This window comes from Homo sapiens, chromosome 10 (assembly GCF_000001405.40).
Source record: "Homo sapiens chromosome 10, GRCh38.p14 Primary Assembly".
Lineage (NCBI taxonomy): Eukaryota > Metazoa > Chordata > Mammalia > Primates > Hominidae > Homo > Homo sapiens.
In genome coordinates, this window is record NC_000010.11 from 34,713,623 (window position 1) to 34,727,198 (window position 13,576).

General features: G+C 43.2%; 1 protein-coding gene across 11 annotated transcripts in view, besides 1 other annotated feature; it reads right to left on the bottom strand.

The window, feature by feature from the left end:
• The window catches only part of PARD3 (par-3 family cell polarity regulator), a 705,736-nt gene that overhangs the window by 604,062 nt on the left and 88,098 nt on the right, over nt 1-13,576 (bottom strand). The window lies entirely within an intron of this gene.
• Nucleotides 3,454-3,593: a silencer, noted in NCBI's record as "silent region_2293". NCBI's record gives its function as "represses an Ori minimal core promoter by ATAC-STARR-seq in GM12878 lymphoblastoid cells {active_cell/tissue: GM12878}" and the evidence as "EXISTENCE:reporter gene assay evidence [ECO:0000049][PMID:35858748]".

The following is a 13,576-nucleotide window of genomic DNA, read 5'->3' on the forward strand; positions in this document are numbered from 1 at the left end:
AGGCGTGGTGTTCTGCACCTGTAGTCCCAGCTGCTCAGGAGGCTGAGGTAGGAGGATCGCTTGAGCCCAGGAGGTCAAGGCTGCAGTAAGCTATTATCGCATCAATGCACTCCAGCCTGGGTGACAAAGAGAGACCCTGTCTCAAAAAAGGAAAAGAAAAAGGAAACAAAAACAACCCATAAACATAAAATAGGGTCACGGACATCTCCAGGCAGAGATCTCCTGCCTCTCCTCTGGAGAGGTTACCTCCTCTGAGGCCTGGTAACTATAATATTGGGTGGTATTTTAAAAACTAACTAAAATGTTGAATATTTCTCTACTATTTATAAAAGAAATAATCCAAAACAACCAACCTGGAAGAACTTTAAGGTTACTCATCCAGCCTAAGAGAAGAAAGATCTACCCTCTCCTGTTTACTTCTCCCTAGCAAACAAGAGATGTTGACTCAGACCAAAAGGAATTTTTCTGACCTGGAAAGAAAAGCCTCACTGAAACATGATAAATTCCAAATGGCTCTGAATCCTAAACAAAAACTTGACCCCGAAGTAGCTCCCCACTTCCCTGTCACATTACTTAATCCAAAAATGACCTGATTTTTCACAAAGAAAGGCTCCCAAATGACTTCAACATAAAGATTAATTCCTTACACCTGGCTATATGAAACCCAACTGCATCAGAAGAAATACTCCTACATGAATATAACAGAGTAGACTATTATTAGGAATAAATGAACCCTGATGAAGGCCTTGCACCTACCTCTGATTTCCTCTTTGGAGCTATGGACAAACAGTTATCCAACTGCACCTCGTGGCATCTGTACTTAAATCCAGCACACCCCACACTGCGTGGGGTCCAAGTTAAAGTGCCACAGCACCCCAACATCCTAAGTGTGGCCCCTAAGGGGTGGATGCCATACCACGGCACAGCTTAGATCACAGCCACTTGTGATCTAAGGACGGAGGGGCCTGTTCCCAATGTCTCCTCAGGATTGCTGATGTCTGAGGTGGAGTTCCCATCTCCTTGCAGGATACTCCTACTCTTGGCCAAGGGAGGGATCTATGATGGTATCTTCAAAAGATTTCCATAAGATCACAGGGTGCTCCTGAGTCTCATTACCACAGACATCTTTGTAAGCAAAGAACACACATCAAAATTTTTTTTTTTTTTTTGGAGATGGAGTCTCACTCTGTCACCCAGGCTGGAGGGCAGTGGTGCATTCTTGGTTCACTGCAACCTCCGCCTCCCGAGTTCAAGTGATTCTCCTGCCTCAGCCTCCCGAATAGCTGGGACTATAGGCACGCACCACCACAGCCAGCTAATTTTGTATTTTTTGTAGAGACGGCGTCTCACCATGTTGGCCAGGATGCTTTCCATCTCTTGACCTCATGATACACCCACCTCAGCCTCCCAAAGTGCTGGGATTACAGGCGTAAGCCACCACACCTAGCCTAACCTTTTTTTTTTTTTTTTTAAGAGACAAGGTCTCGCTCTGTCACCCAGGCTGGAGCACAGTGGTGCTATCATAGCTCACTGCAGCCTTGAACTCCTGGCCTCAAGCAACCCACCTGCCTCAGCCTTCCAAGTAGCTGAGATTACAGGTACACACCACCACGCCCAGCACATTTTTAAATTTTTTGTAGAGACAAGGTCTCGCTGTGTTGCCCAGGCTGGTCTCCAACTCCTGGACTCAAGTGATCCTCCTGCCTCGGATTCCCAAAGTGCTGAGGACTGCACCCGGCCCTGTGCATCAACTTTGAGGAAAGAATATGAGCATGGACTGAGCCATACACACAGGGGATGTACCTTCATATATGACAAGATACAAGCCATGAAGTCCACAGGATCTTCCTGTTGCTCAAACTTGTTATCTGCTTGTCTATACCTCCTGGAAAGCCATCCCTACCCCTTCCCTTGCGGAAATCTTACCCACATTTCAGTTCCTGGCTGAAATGTATCTCTGCAAGACAACCATCTTCAATCCTACTTTTATCTTATGCCCAGTCCCCCCAAAGCACTTAAAATGACGTCTTGAAGATGTGCATGTTTTACCGTTTATCACCATGGTGAGTCCCATAGGCCACAGTATGCATTCATTCCACAAATATTCACGAAGCATCTACCATGTGGCAGGCACGGAACAAGATGCAGGGTCATCGCAATGAATGGGTCCCACCCTCCTAGAATCTGTGGTCTAGCATACGAATCAACTAGAGCTCCCTCTTAAACATAGCCCTCACACCACAAAACATTCACTGAAGTCTGTTACTGGTTATTTCAAGCCAAAGATCAATTTCTATTCCCTTGCTAACCTATTTTGTTTGAAAATCTACTGGCACTTAGATTTTTCTGAAAGGCCCTAATATTATGACTCAAGACTTTATCTAGGCCATCTGGTCAGTTTCAAATACAGACATCCATTTAAAATAGGAGAATTTTAAAGTACGGGCTCCAAGACACCTTATAAAATACACATAAAAGAGATTTTATACATTAATTCCATAAAATTCATAATTCCTTACATACATGGTTAGTTCTCTGTTCCTATATTCCCTTATGAGACATTTGAAATGTAATGCGTGTGCCTTCAGTTTATTTAAGAAATTATGGTACATGGTGTCTCAGAAAAAGGAAGTTTAACACAATGCATTAAAACAGAGAATACATCAAGCACAAATACAACTAGTCTGCACTGGTAATATTCCCTAGGATACTTTAAAGTTTCTGATAAAATCCTGCATGGAAGCATGGAAACAAATTAGCTGTATGGGAACTCAGGCAAAACATAATTACACAACTAGTAATTAAAGTGTGAAATGGACTACCTCAAACAACAATAAAACTTGTAACTATAAACTTATCAGATGGGAGGAGGGGACAAAAGAGCAGAGTAGGTTGTGAAGCTTGAAAGCAAGCTTGTCCAACCTGCAGCCCCATGGGCTACGTGTGGCCCAGGATGGCTTTTCTTTTTTTTTTTTTTTTTTTTTTTTGAGACAGAGTTTTGCTCTTGTTGCCTAGGCTAGAGTGCAATGGTGCAATCTTGGCTCACTGCAACCTCTGCCTCCTGGGTTCAAGCGATTCTCCTGCCTCAGCCTCCCGAGTAGCTGGGATTACAGGCATGCGCCACCACCCCCGGCTAATTTTGTATTTTTAGTAGGGACAGGGTTTCTCCATGTTGGTCAGGTTGGTCTCGCACTGCCAACCTCAGGTGATGCACCTGCCTCGGCCTCCCAAAGTGCTGGGATTACAGGTGTGAGCCACTGCACCCAGCCTCAGGATGGCTTTGAATGTGGCCCAACACATATTCATAAACTTTCTCAAAATAATATCAGATTTTTTTTTGCAATTTTTGTTTTACCTCATCAGATATTGTTAGTGTATTTTATGTGTGGTCCAAGATAACACCACTTCTTCCAGTGTGGCCCGGGGATACCAAAAGATTGGACCCCCCTGCTTTAAAGACATACAGATAAATTGTGTGCAGCTGGTGACCTGGGCCTTGATGACAAGGGCATCTAGTGAGTGCAAGCCTTATCTATCAGTAGCCACAAAAAGGACAATAAAATGACTCTGTGGTTAAGTGGCCTGAAACTGCACAAGTCATTTCCTCTTTGTGGGCACCCAAGTCCTTTTGTATAGAAATGAGGGAGTTGGATGGTCTCTGGGGTTCCTATATTGCTCTACCAGTCTATGATGCTATATCAGAAAAATTAAACAAACTCCAGGCAGCCTTTTTCCCACAAGTAGAAATAAAACAGCCATTCCTACCAACACATAATTAGATCTTGAAAACAACCCATAATACAAAATTAAAAGTACCTAATCTCCTCTACAACATTCTGTATTAAACACGCATTTATAAGCATGTTCCCCTGCAATCGCAGAGTTCAAAGTTCTGTAGACACCATTCACCCAGAACAGCTTTCCAAACCCTGAGAGTCTGGTGGAGGTGCTGGAAACACCATAAGCAAGCAAAGTCACGGTCCCACGCAGATTACTGGAAAAGCCTTCTAAGAGCAAGAAAAGTCAAATATGGAGAAGAGCGTCCACGTGGCTACTACTGACTGGACACATTTCTATATTTACCATGTACTCTGACAGCAGCTGGGGATGGCAGGATGGCATGGTGCACACCACCAGTGAATTAAGAACCAAACACCCAGTCTGAAAATAATTGTGTTATGCAATAACAGCGGTACAGCCAAATCTATAATAAAACCCCTGTTCTACAACACTTAAATATTAATTTCGGGGCCAAGCGTGGTGGCTCACGCCTGTAATCCCAGCACTCTGGGAGGCCGAGATGGGTGGACTGTCTGAGCTCAGGAGTTCGAGACCACCCTGGGCAACATGGTAAAGCCCTGTCTCTACTAAAATACAAAAAATTAGTTGGGCATGGTGGTGCATGCCTGTAATCCCAGCTACTTGGGAGGCTGAGGCAGGTGAATTGCTTGAGCCTGGGAGGAGGAGGCTGCAGTGAGCCAAGATGGTGCCACTGCACTCCAGCCTGGGTAACAGAGACTCCATCTCAAAAAAAAAAAAAAAAAAAATCAATTTTGGGAGGCAAGCCATAGGTATATGAAAAGGTCACTAACAATACTCAGTTATGGAAATTGTAACTGCCAACCAAGCAGTACATGAATTGAGAAAATACAGAAAACACTAAAGACAAAGAACGCTTCATGAAGAAATGGTCATTTATTTTCAATCAGGAGAAATCTTAGGACAAAGGTGAGGAGGTCAAAACATGCACAGTGAGGCTGGGCACAGTGGCTCACACCTGTAATCCCAGCACTGTGGGAGGCCGAGGCCAGAGGATTGCTTGAACCCAGGAGTTCAAGACCAGCTTGGGCAACAAAGTGAGACCACGTCTCCACAAAAGGCAACATAATCAGCCAGGCATGGTGGTGCATGCCTGTAGTCGCAGCTACTGAGAGGCTGAGGCTGGAGGATTGCTTGAGCCTAGGAGACCAAGGATGCAGTGAGCTGTGATCACACCACTGTACTCCAGCCTGGGCAACACGACAAGACTCTACTCTATCTCAAAAATAAAAATAAATTGGCCGGGCACGGTGGCTCACGCCTGTAATCCCAGCACTTCGGGAGGCCGAGGTAGGCGGATCACCTGAGGTCAGGAGTTCGAGACCAGCCTGACCAACATGGTGAAACCCTGTCTCTACTAAAAAATACAAAAATTAGCCGGGCGTGGTGGCAGGTGCCTTAATCCCAGCTACTTGGGAGGCAGAGGCAGGAGAATTGTTTGAACCCGGAAGGAGCAGGTTGCAGTGAGCCGAGATTGAGCCACTGCACTCAAGCCTGGGGGACAAGAGCGAGACTCAAAAAAAAATAAAAATAAAAAATAAATTTTAAAAAAATGCATGGTGTATTGGAACAACCAGGGAAACAGCCTAGAAACAATACACTCCATCACAACTTGTGGTGTTGTCCTTATTCATCCTTTCTCCCCACAATATACTGATACGTTGAATTGAGCCAGGCACATGTAACATCTCTGCTAGGGATAGACTAGGGCAGAGCCCTTTTTAGACCTGTCTGAAAAAAGCTAGTGCTCGAATCCTAACCTTCATGTCATCATTAATTGTGACGTTTGTTCTAAACAACCTTAAAGCAATGTAATATACCACCAACAGAAACATCAAATGTAAATCCAGAATTTGAGGTTTCAAGGGAAAAAAAGCATTTCAAAAGGCCCCAAATAAATTTTAATTCTAAAATTTTAAGGATTATTTCATTTTCTTATATCCTCCCTCTACTTTAAGTTAAATCCCTTCTCATCCCTCCAATCTTGTTTAATATTAATAGTTACTTAATACATTCCTGAGTGCAGTGCAGCAACACTTCCTGTTTATCAAAAGACTAAAATAAATAGCAGGTCAACAAGACTAGACAAGGAAAACACAAAACTCGTTTGACAACTGGGGCCAGAAACATGTTTGTATGCATGCAAGAGAAACCACCACCTACCTTTTTAGTTAGACCTGCTCGATATCATACAGCAAGCAGATTATTTCAGTATAACCCTCAAACCATGCCCCTCTTTCCTTCTCCCCTCCAAAAGGACATTTAAAGCCAACCAGAGATTTGGGCAATGAATTTATGAACTTTAAGTTCAAGACTTTCAACTTTCATATTACAATGTAGTGATGAATATTACCAATGTGATATGATTAACAAAATTAGCACCTCCTCATATGTGAAATATGGTACTAAAGCCCATTCTTGCTGAAAATCTAGGATGACAAACAACTCACAGGGCAAAACCCATGTGGTTAGGTGGGTGTTTGTTTTGATGCGAAGCCTCCAGTTTTGTTCCTGTCTAGGCCTGTCCCACAGTCATCTGACATTCCTGCAAAAACTTGTCTTTATTTTGGATGGACACACAAGCAATGGAATTGGCACTGAAATTTCAGCTTATGGTGCAGGGTATGTTAGGATACAATTTCCCCCTGAAGTAAATACTGAAACACTGACATGTGGGTTTGTTTTGCTTTTTTACTTTTAAAAATTTGCAAACGGGCACGGCGGCTCATGCCTGTAATCCCACTAGTTTGGGAGGCCCAGGCAGGTGGATCGCCTGAGTGTCAGGCGTTCAAGACTAGCCTGGCCAACATGGCGAAACCCTGTCTCTATTAAAAATACAAAAAATTAGCCAGGTGTGGTGGTGGGTGCCTGTAATCTCAGCTACTTGGGAGGACAACTGTTTGATTCTCTGAGGCAGAAGAATTGCTTGAAACCAGGAGGTAGAGGTTGCAGTGAGCTGAGATCATACCACTGCACTATAGCCTGGGCAACAGAGCAAGGCTCTGTCAAAAAAAAAAAAAAAAAAAAAAAAAAGCCTTGGAAATAATGCCACTGTGTACTATGCCAAGAATTCTAGCCAGGTGCATTGGCTCAGGCCTATAATCTCAGCACTTTGGGAGGCTGAAGCGGGCGGATCACCTGAGGTCAGGAGTTCAAGACCAGCCTGACCAACAAGGAGAAATCTTGTCTCTACTAAAAATACAAAATTAGCCGGGCGTGGTAGCACATGCCTGTAATCCCAGCTACTTGGGAGGCTGAGGCAGGAGAATCACTTGAACTAGGGAGGCGGAGGTTGCAGTGAGCCAAGATCGCGCCATTGCACTCCAGCCTGGGCAACAAGAGCGAAACTCTGTCTCCAAAAAAAAAAAGAATTCTTAACCCACCTAAAATAAGTCATGATAAAGACATCTGCCAGAGCATACACAACCAATCATAAAAACATTCCAAAATTATGTAGTAAGGCTAAATCTACCATAATTTACACAAAATAATTTGCCTTTAATGATTTTCACTCTCAATTAAAAGGCCCAATGTCATGATGAAATAAAAGAAAACACTTTTCAGGCTGATTAGAGGATACTTGGCAGAACAATGAGCTGCATTATTCCAGAAAGGCAATAGAAGTATCCTGAGAATGGTGACTCGTTTGTTCTAAATCTATATCAACTATTCAAAGTAACTTTGAAAAAGCTTACCTAAAGGAATATGATACAGAGACAGAAAATGACTCGGTTATATATAAATCTTAAGCAATGTTACGCTCCTTACAAAGACCAACAGCAACCAAAAGAAATCAATTCCAGAACTGAAGAGACTGCATTCTAAAATTAACAGAATTTTAATATTCAAATTAAGTTATTTCCTTCCTGTACCTCCATCCTGTCTTTGAAAAGAGTTGTGGAGCGAACAGGGCGTAAAGTAAGCTATGTGAAAAGAAGAAAAACCACAGAGACCAATGCCACAGGAATGCTGAAGCTGCACACAGGGTGTGCCTGGGCAGCCGGCAAGCTGAGGGCAGGGAAGGAGTCTGACCCTCTCCTCCAACCCCATAGCCAGCGAAAAGGCAATACCCTGAGAGGGGCTCCAGAGCATCCCCCAGGAGTGCCCAGCATCCACAGTGATAAGCTGAGTGACCAGGGGGCTCAACTACTTGCAGGGTTCCCAAGGGAGCAAGACCCTGCTCTTCCACATTGCGAATCACACACAGTTCCTGTACAGCCATCTCCTGGAGACATAAGATTCCCAGCTCTCACCAATTATGATAAAAATAAAGTGAGATCCATTCAGTTATCTGCTGGAAGATATAACTAAAGCACTAAATACCACTGCTAATCTGAGTTATGTGAAAAATATATATTTTGGGGTTACACCAATACCTTCAATTAAGCATGTACTAAATTATAACATACAAACTCTAACACTAGAAAAACAATGGCTTTAATATTGTCTAAACAGGCTGGGTGCAGTGGCTCACGCCTGTAATCCTAGAGCTTTGGGAGGCCAAACCAGGCAGATCGCTTGAGTCCAGGAGTTCAAGACCAGCCTGGGCAACATGGTGAGATCCCATCTCTAAAAAAATATAATAATAAAAAACACAAAAATTAGCCAGGCATGGCGCCACGTGCCTGTAGTCCCAGCTACTCCAGAGGCTAAGGTAGGAGGACCACCTGAGCCCAGGGAGTTCAAGGCTGCAGTGAGACATGATGGTGCCACTGCACTCCAGCCTTGTGATAAAGTGAGATCCTGTCTCAAAATATATATTTTTGAGACATATATTTATATATTTTTATATATATACTGTTGTTTTATGTATATATATAGACTGTTTATCTATGTATATATAGATTGTCTAAACAGTAACAAATAAGATTTGCCCGTCACCACACTGTCATTCACTCTTGCTATCTCCAGTGGTTATCGCCTGTACAGAAATCAAATTATAGTTTACCTAGTCCAAGTTTTAATAATAAACTGGCTCAATGCTTCTGCACAAGGTCACTATAAACTATAATCATAGAAAACATCCATGTATGTGTTTTGAGAAATGAGGACTGAAGAACCAGCCTGGCCACTTAATCTCCTGTGACAGCAGGGTAAGATCAGGCTTGATGTTCAGCACGGTACTCCCTGGGGATGTTCCGTCTCACTCTCCAGGGCAGGACACTTTGGGCCTCACACTTCCTGCGCACACTTGCCCCACAATCTTCTTGCCTATGCTCCGAAAGCTGTTGACAGCCTTCATCTCAAAAACATTTAACTTCATATATTTTGCCTCAGCATTTAGAATATCACAAAGCATTTTGTAAGCCACCTTTCAAAACACAGTATCTTCTTTAGAAAGTGAGGCAGAAGGCAGGATATTAGTTTAATATTCCTTTTTGACAAATACATATATTGAACATGATGAAATATTTACCAGTGTAACTATCTGATATCTAAGATTTATTTCAAAATGATGGAATGGAAATAGTGCGAGGGTACAGAAGAAACAAGATTGGCCAAAAATGTGAATTGCTGAAGTTGGGTGACAGGTACATGGAGGTATGTTATTCTCTTAACAATTGTAGTATATTTGAAATTTTCCCTAATGAAAGCATATTTTTACAAAAATATATATATTGGCCAGGCACGGTGGCTTACACCTATAATTCCAGCACTTTGGGAGGCTGAGGTGGGAGATCACCTGAGCTCAGGAGTTCAAGACCAGCCTGGCCAACACGGCAAGAACCCTGTCTCTACTAAAAATATAAAAATTAGCCAAGCATGGTGGCACATGCCTGTAATCCCAGCTACTTGGGAGGCTGCGGCAGGAGAACCTAGGAGGCCTGGGCAACAGAGCGAGGCTCTGTCTGGGGGACAAAAAAGAAATCATATATTGACTTGAAAGGTTAGAGGATGCCTTTGATTTACATGTATCCAGTAAAATCATACGAGAAAAAGGCCACCAATGATGGCTGAAACAGCCAGAGAGACACACAGAAGCAAAGTCACTATGTTTATTATGCATTTCTGATTGCTTTTTTCCTTAAAGAAGCATAGTGCCTTTGACTTCTGTTTCTGACTCCCCAAATTTTAAGGTCACCTCTGATAAGATCATAAACTTCTTTGAGCTCATATCACCAATTATTTCAAACTCTGTTTGAAAAACCAAAATGTATTAGATATCAATCAGATCATAGTAATTAATCTCAGCTTTATGATGTCAGAAGACTTTTAAACTTCCCATTTTCCACAGCTTGTTCCCCGCCTAGGGAAAAAGCTCAATCACTTCATAAATCTGGCATCATTCTAGTACACTGTGTTTTAAAATATGCTCAAGTATTGATCACGGCGATGCAGCGGAGGAACTGCAGGCTTGAGCACACCGCAGGGATGCAGGACCAGGGATGGGGGCACTTCTTTAGGGGACATCTGTAATCGCACTCTGGGCTCACAGTGGAAGGGTGCCGCAGGCTGGGAGCTGGGCTCCTTTCACTTTCCAGTTTGAGTTCTCGTCTACACTTCACTGGTGGATCTGTTACTGATATTAAAACCCAAAGCCACCAGCAGAGAGCACTCAACGAGCACAAGCTTGGTAATTCCTGTTCACTGCAGAGGGAAACAGGAGTGCACATCATTAAAGCAAGAACACATTCTTAATGGAAACTTCGTATGGAGCACAGGGACAGTATATACATAATCCAAAATTCAAATAAACTCAGTGTTCGTGAGAAAATAAGCATGTAATCCTGAAGATTCTATGAAATGCATCCCATATTGTTTAATTATTTATCTCTCAGGGTATTTTTTTTTAAGTCAATGCAGTATGGTTGGAAACTGCATTGTGATCTATGGCTTTCTCCATGCAACTAAAATAGCCTTGCAAGTCATGCCCATTTTTAAAAGCTTATACAAGCACCTACCCTCTTGCAGTGGTGAAGATAGCACTGTAATTTCCCTTCAGTTCTCTTACATAACTAAAGAGTTTTTTGTTTTGTTTATAAGCTCATACATTGGCTAGAAAAAATTATAAACTTGCTGGTAAATTTCTAAACTTGCTAGTAAAAAAATTAAGTTATATATAAGAGGCTGCCCTGTTCTAATCCCAATCAAGTATTTAAAATAATTTTACTATGATCACAGTAAACATAGCACATAGAACTAAAGGAAATACTATAGTGAATATATATAAGCTAAACTGGCTAGTTGTCATTAAACCCAGTAACTAGAAAACTGACCACAAAATATTTTTGTTTTTACTGTTATGTTATATTATTAACTCAGGACAAAGGCAGGGGTGTAGAGGTGAAGAAGAGCTCTGGGGATAGGTCAAGTCAGCTGGGCTGTGCTACCACGGGCAGCAGCAGTCTGCAGGAGAGCCCTGAACATCAGTCTACTGGATGCTGTAGCCCAAGTGACAACAACGTAACTGCGGAGCAAATGCTGGAGCAGTAGAAATGCTAGAGCTTCTAAAATCCGCTCAGTGAGCTGATTAGTTACAAATATGAAGGAAGCATCAGCTCATTCAGTACAAGCAATGGAGCCTAGGAATTAACAGTGAAGACTGGACATAGCTGGAGCAAATGACTTAACCTCTCTCTGCCCGTTTCCCTCATCTGAGAAATGTGAGTAACAAGAGTCCCTTACTCATAGAATTGTTAAAAGGATTGAATGAGTCAAAACTTTGTGTGTGTGTGTGTGTGTGTGTGTGTGTGTGTGTGTGTGTGTGTGACAGAGAGAGAGAGAGAGAGAGACGGAGTCTCACTCTGTCGCCCAGGCTGGAGTGCAGTGGCGTGATCTCAGCTCACTGCATGCTCCAACTCCCAGGTTCAAGCGATTCTCCTGCCTCAGCCTCCTGAGTAGCTGGGGTTACAGATGCCTGCCACTACGCCTGGCTAATTTTTGTATTTTTAGTAGAGATGGGGTTTCACCATGTTGGACCAAGGTGGTCTTGAACTCCTGGCCTCTAGGTGATCCACCTGTCTCGGCCTCCCAAAGTGCTAAGATTCCAGGTGTGAGCCACCACGCCCAGCCCAGTCAAAACTTTTCAAGCTCTCCGAATAGCTCAAGGCATTCAGTCACTGCTAAGTATTCGTTGCCATTCTGATAAGCCAGGATTTTCACAACAGTCCCTACTTCCTCAACTGTGAGGAGTAGTGTTATTCATCGTAAAAATCTACCCTTGGGGGGGCACAATATCTAGTGTCAATCTATCTCAAAAGGGAATGAGGGAATACATGGTGGTTCTCAATCCTGGCTGTATCAGAAACACCTGCGAGCTTTACTAACTACACAACACTCCAACCAAGAACAAGTGAATTAGAAAGAAACTCAGATGACACAATGTCCAGCCAGCTTGGGTAGCTAACACCAGGACTGCAACTGAACAACAAAAGTTACTTTGCAAAAAGGCAGATACTTTACTACACCTAAAACATTATTTGCTTGCTGTGGACTAGTTCTACTGTCTTGAGTGAATGCGTTTGTGTGTTGTTGTTTTTTTAATCCCACGTTCTCAGTCATGTAACAGATAACTGCAGTATCTAAGCATACATGTCTTTAGAATGCCATTTGGTTAAAGTTCTTTCCAGACTTAAGGGAGTGTAAAGGTAATCAATTAGCACCACAAGGATTTCTGCCTAACATGTCTTTTAACCATCAACAGATGCCATATAACTTCCTAAAGCTCTTGGCTATAACTACTTTTATACTTAGAACAAATCGAGTTCATGTTTTACTAAAACAAAAGCTTTGGCCAGGCACGATGGCTCATGCCTGTAACCCCAGCACTTTGGGAGGTGGGTGAATCACCTAAGTTAAGGAGTTCAAGACCAGCGTGGTCAACATGATGAAACTGTGTCTCTATTAAAAACACAAAAAATTAGCCGGGCACAGTGGCTCACGCCTGTAATCCCAACACTTTGGAAGGCCAAGGAGGGTGGATCACCTGAGGTCAGGAATTTGAGACCAGCCTGGCCAACATGGTGAAACCCCATCTCTACTAAAAATACAAAAATTAGCCAGGCGTGGTGGCACACACCCATAATCCCAGCTACTCGGGAGGCTGAGGCAGAATCGCTCGAGCCCAGGAGGCAGAGGTTGCAGTGAGCCAAGATTGTGCCACTGAACTCCAGCCTGGGCGACAGAGTGAGACCCTGTCTCAAAACACACACACACAAACACATACACAATTAGCTGGGCGTGGTGACAGGCACCTGTAGTCCCAGCTACTCAGGAGGCTGAGGCTGAGGAGAATCACTTGAACCTAGGAGGTGGAGGCTACAGTGAACTGAGAATGCACCACTGCACTCCAGTCTGGGCGGCAAGAGTGAACTCCATCTCCAAAAAAAAAAGTGGGGGGAGGCGGGAGCGGGGGTCTTTTCTGTCTCATATGTATAAGGAAAGGCCAGCATTACATCTTTATACTTTCTCCTTTCTGAGCACAGACCTCTGAACTTCTCCTCTGACCACAGAGCCCTCTATTGTCAGCAACTTTCTACCCTTTTCTGTGGACAGGGAATCAAGTCCAGTCTTTGCTTTGCCAATAACCAGCTGGGTAAGCTCAGACAAATAAAAGCTCTGCCTATTCCCCAACCTGTAAAATAAAGGGGAAGTACAAGATCTACAGGCACCACTGCTCTTACCATTACACTATCCTTAGAGCCCACAAAGCATCCATTCCCTCTGCACCCTGTGTGGTGGGGGATTCCATCCTTCCAATATGTTTAAAGACTTTGGCTCAAGAGTCACAAGCTCATAAGCCTATGGGAGCCAGGCA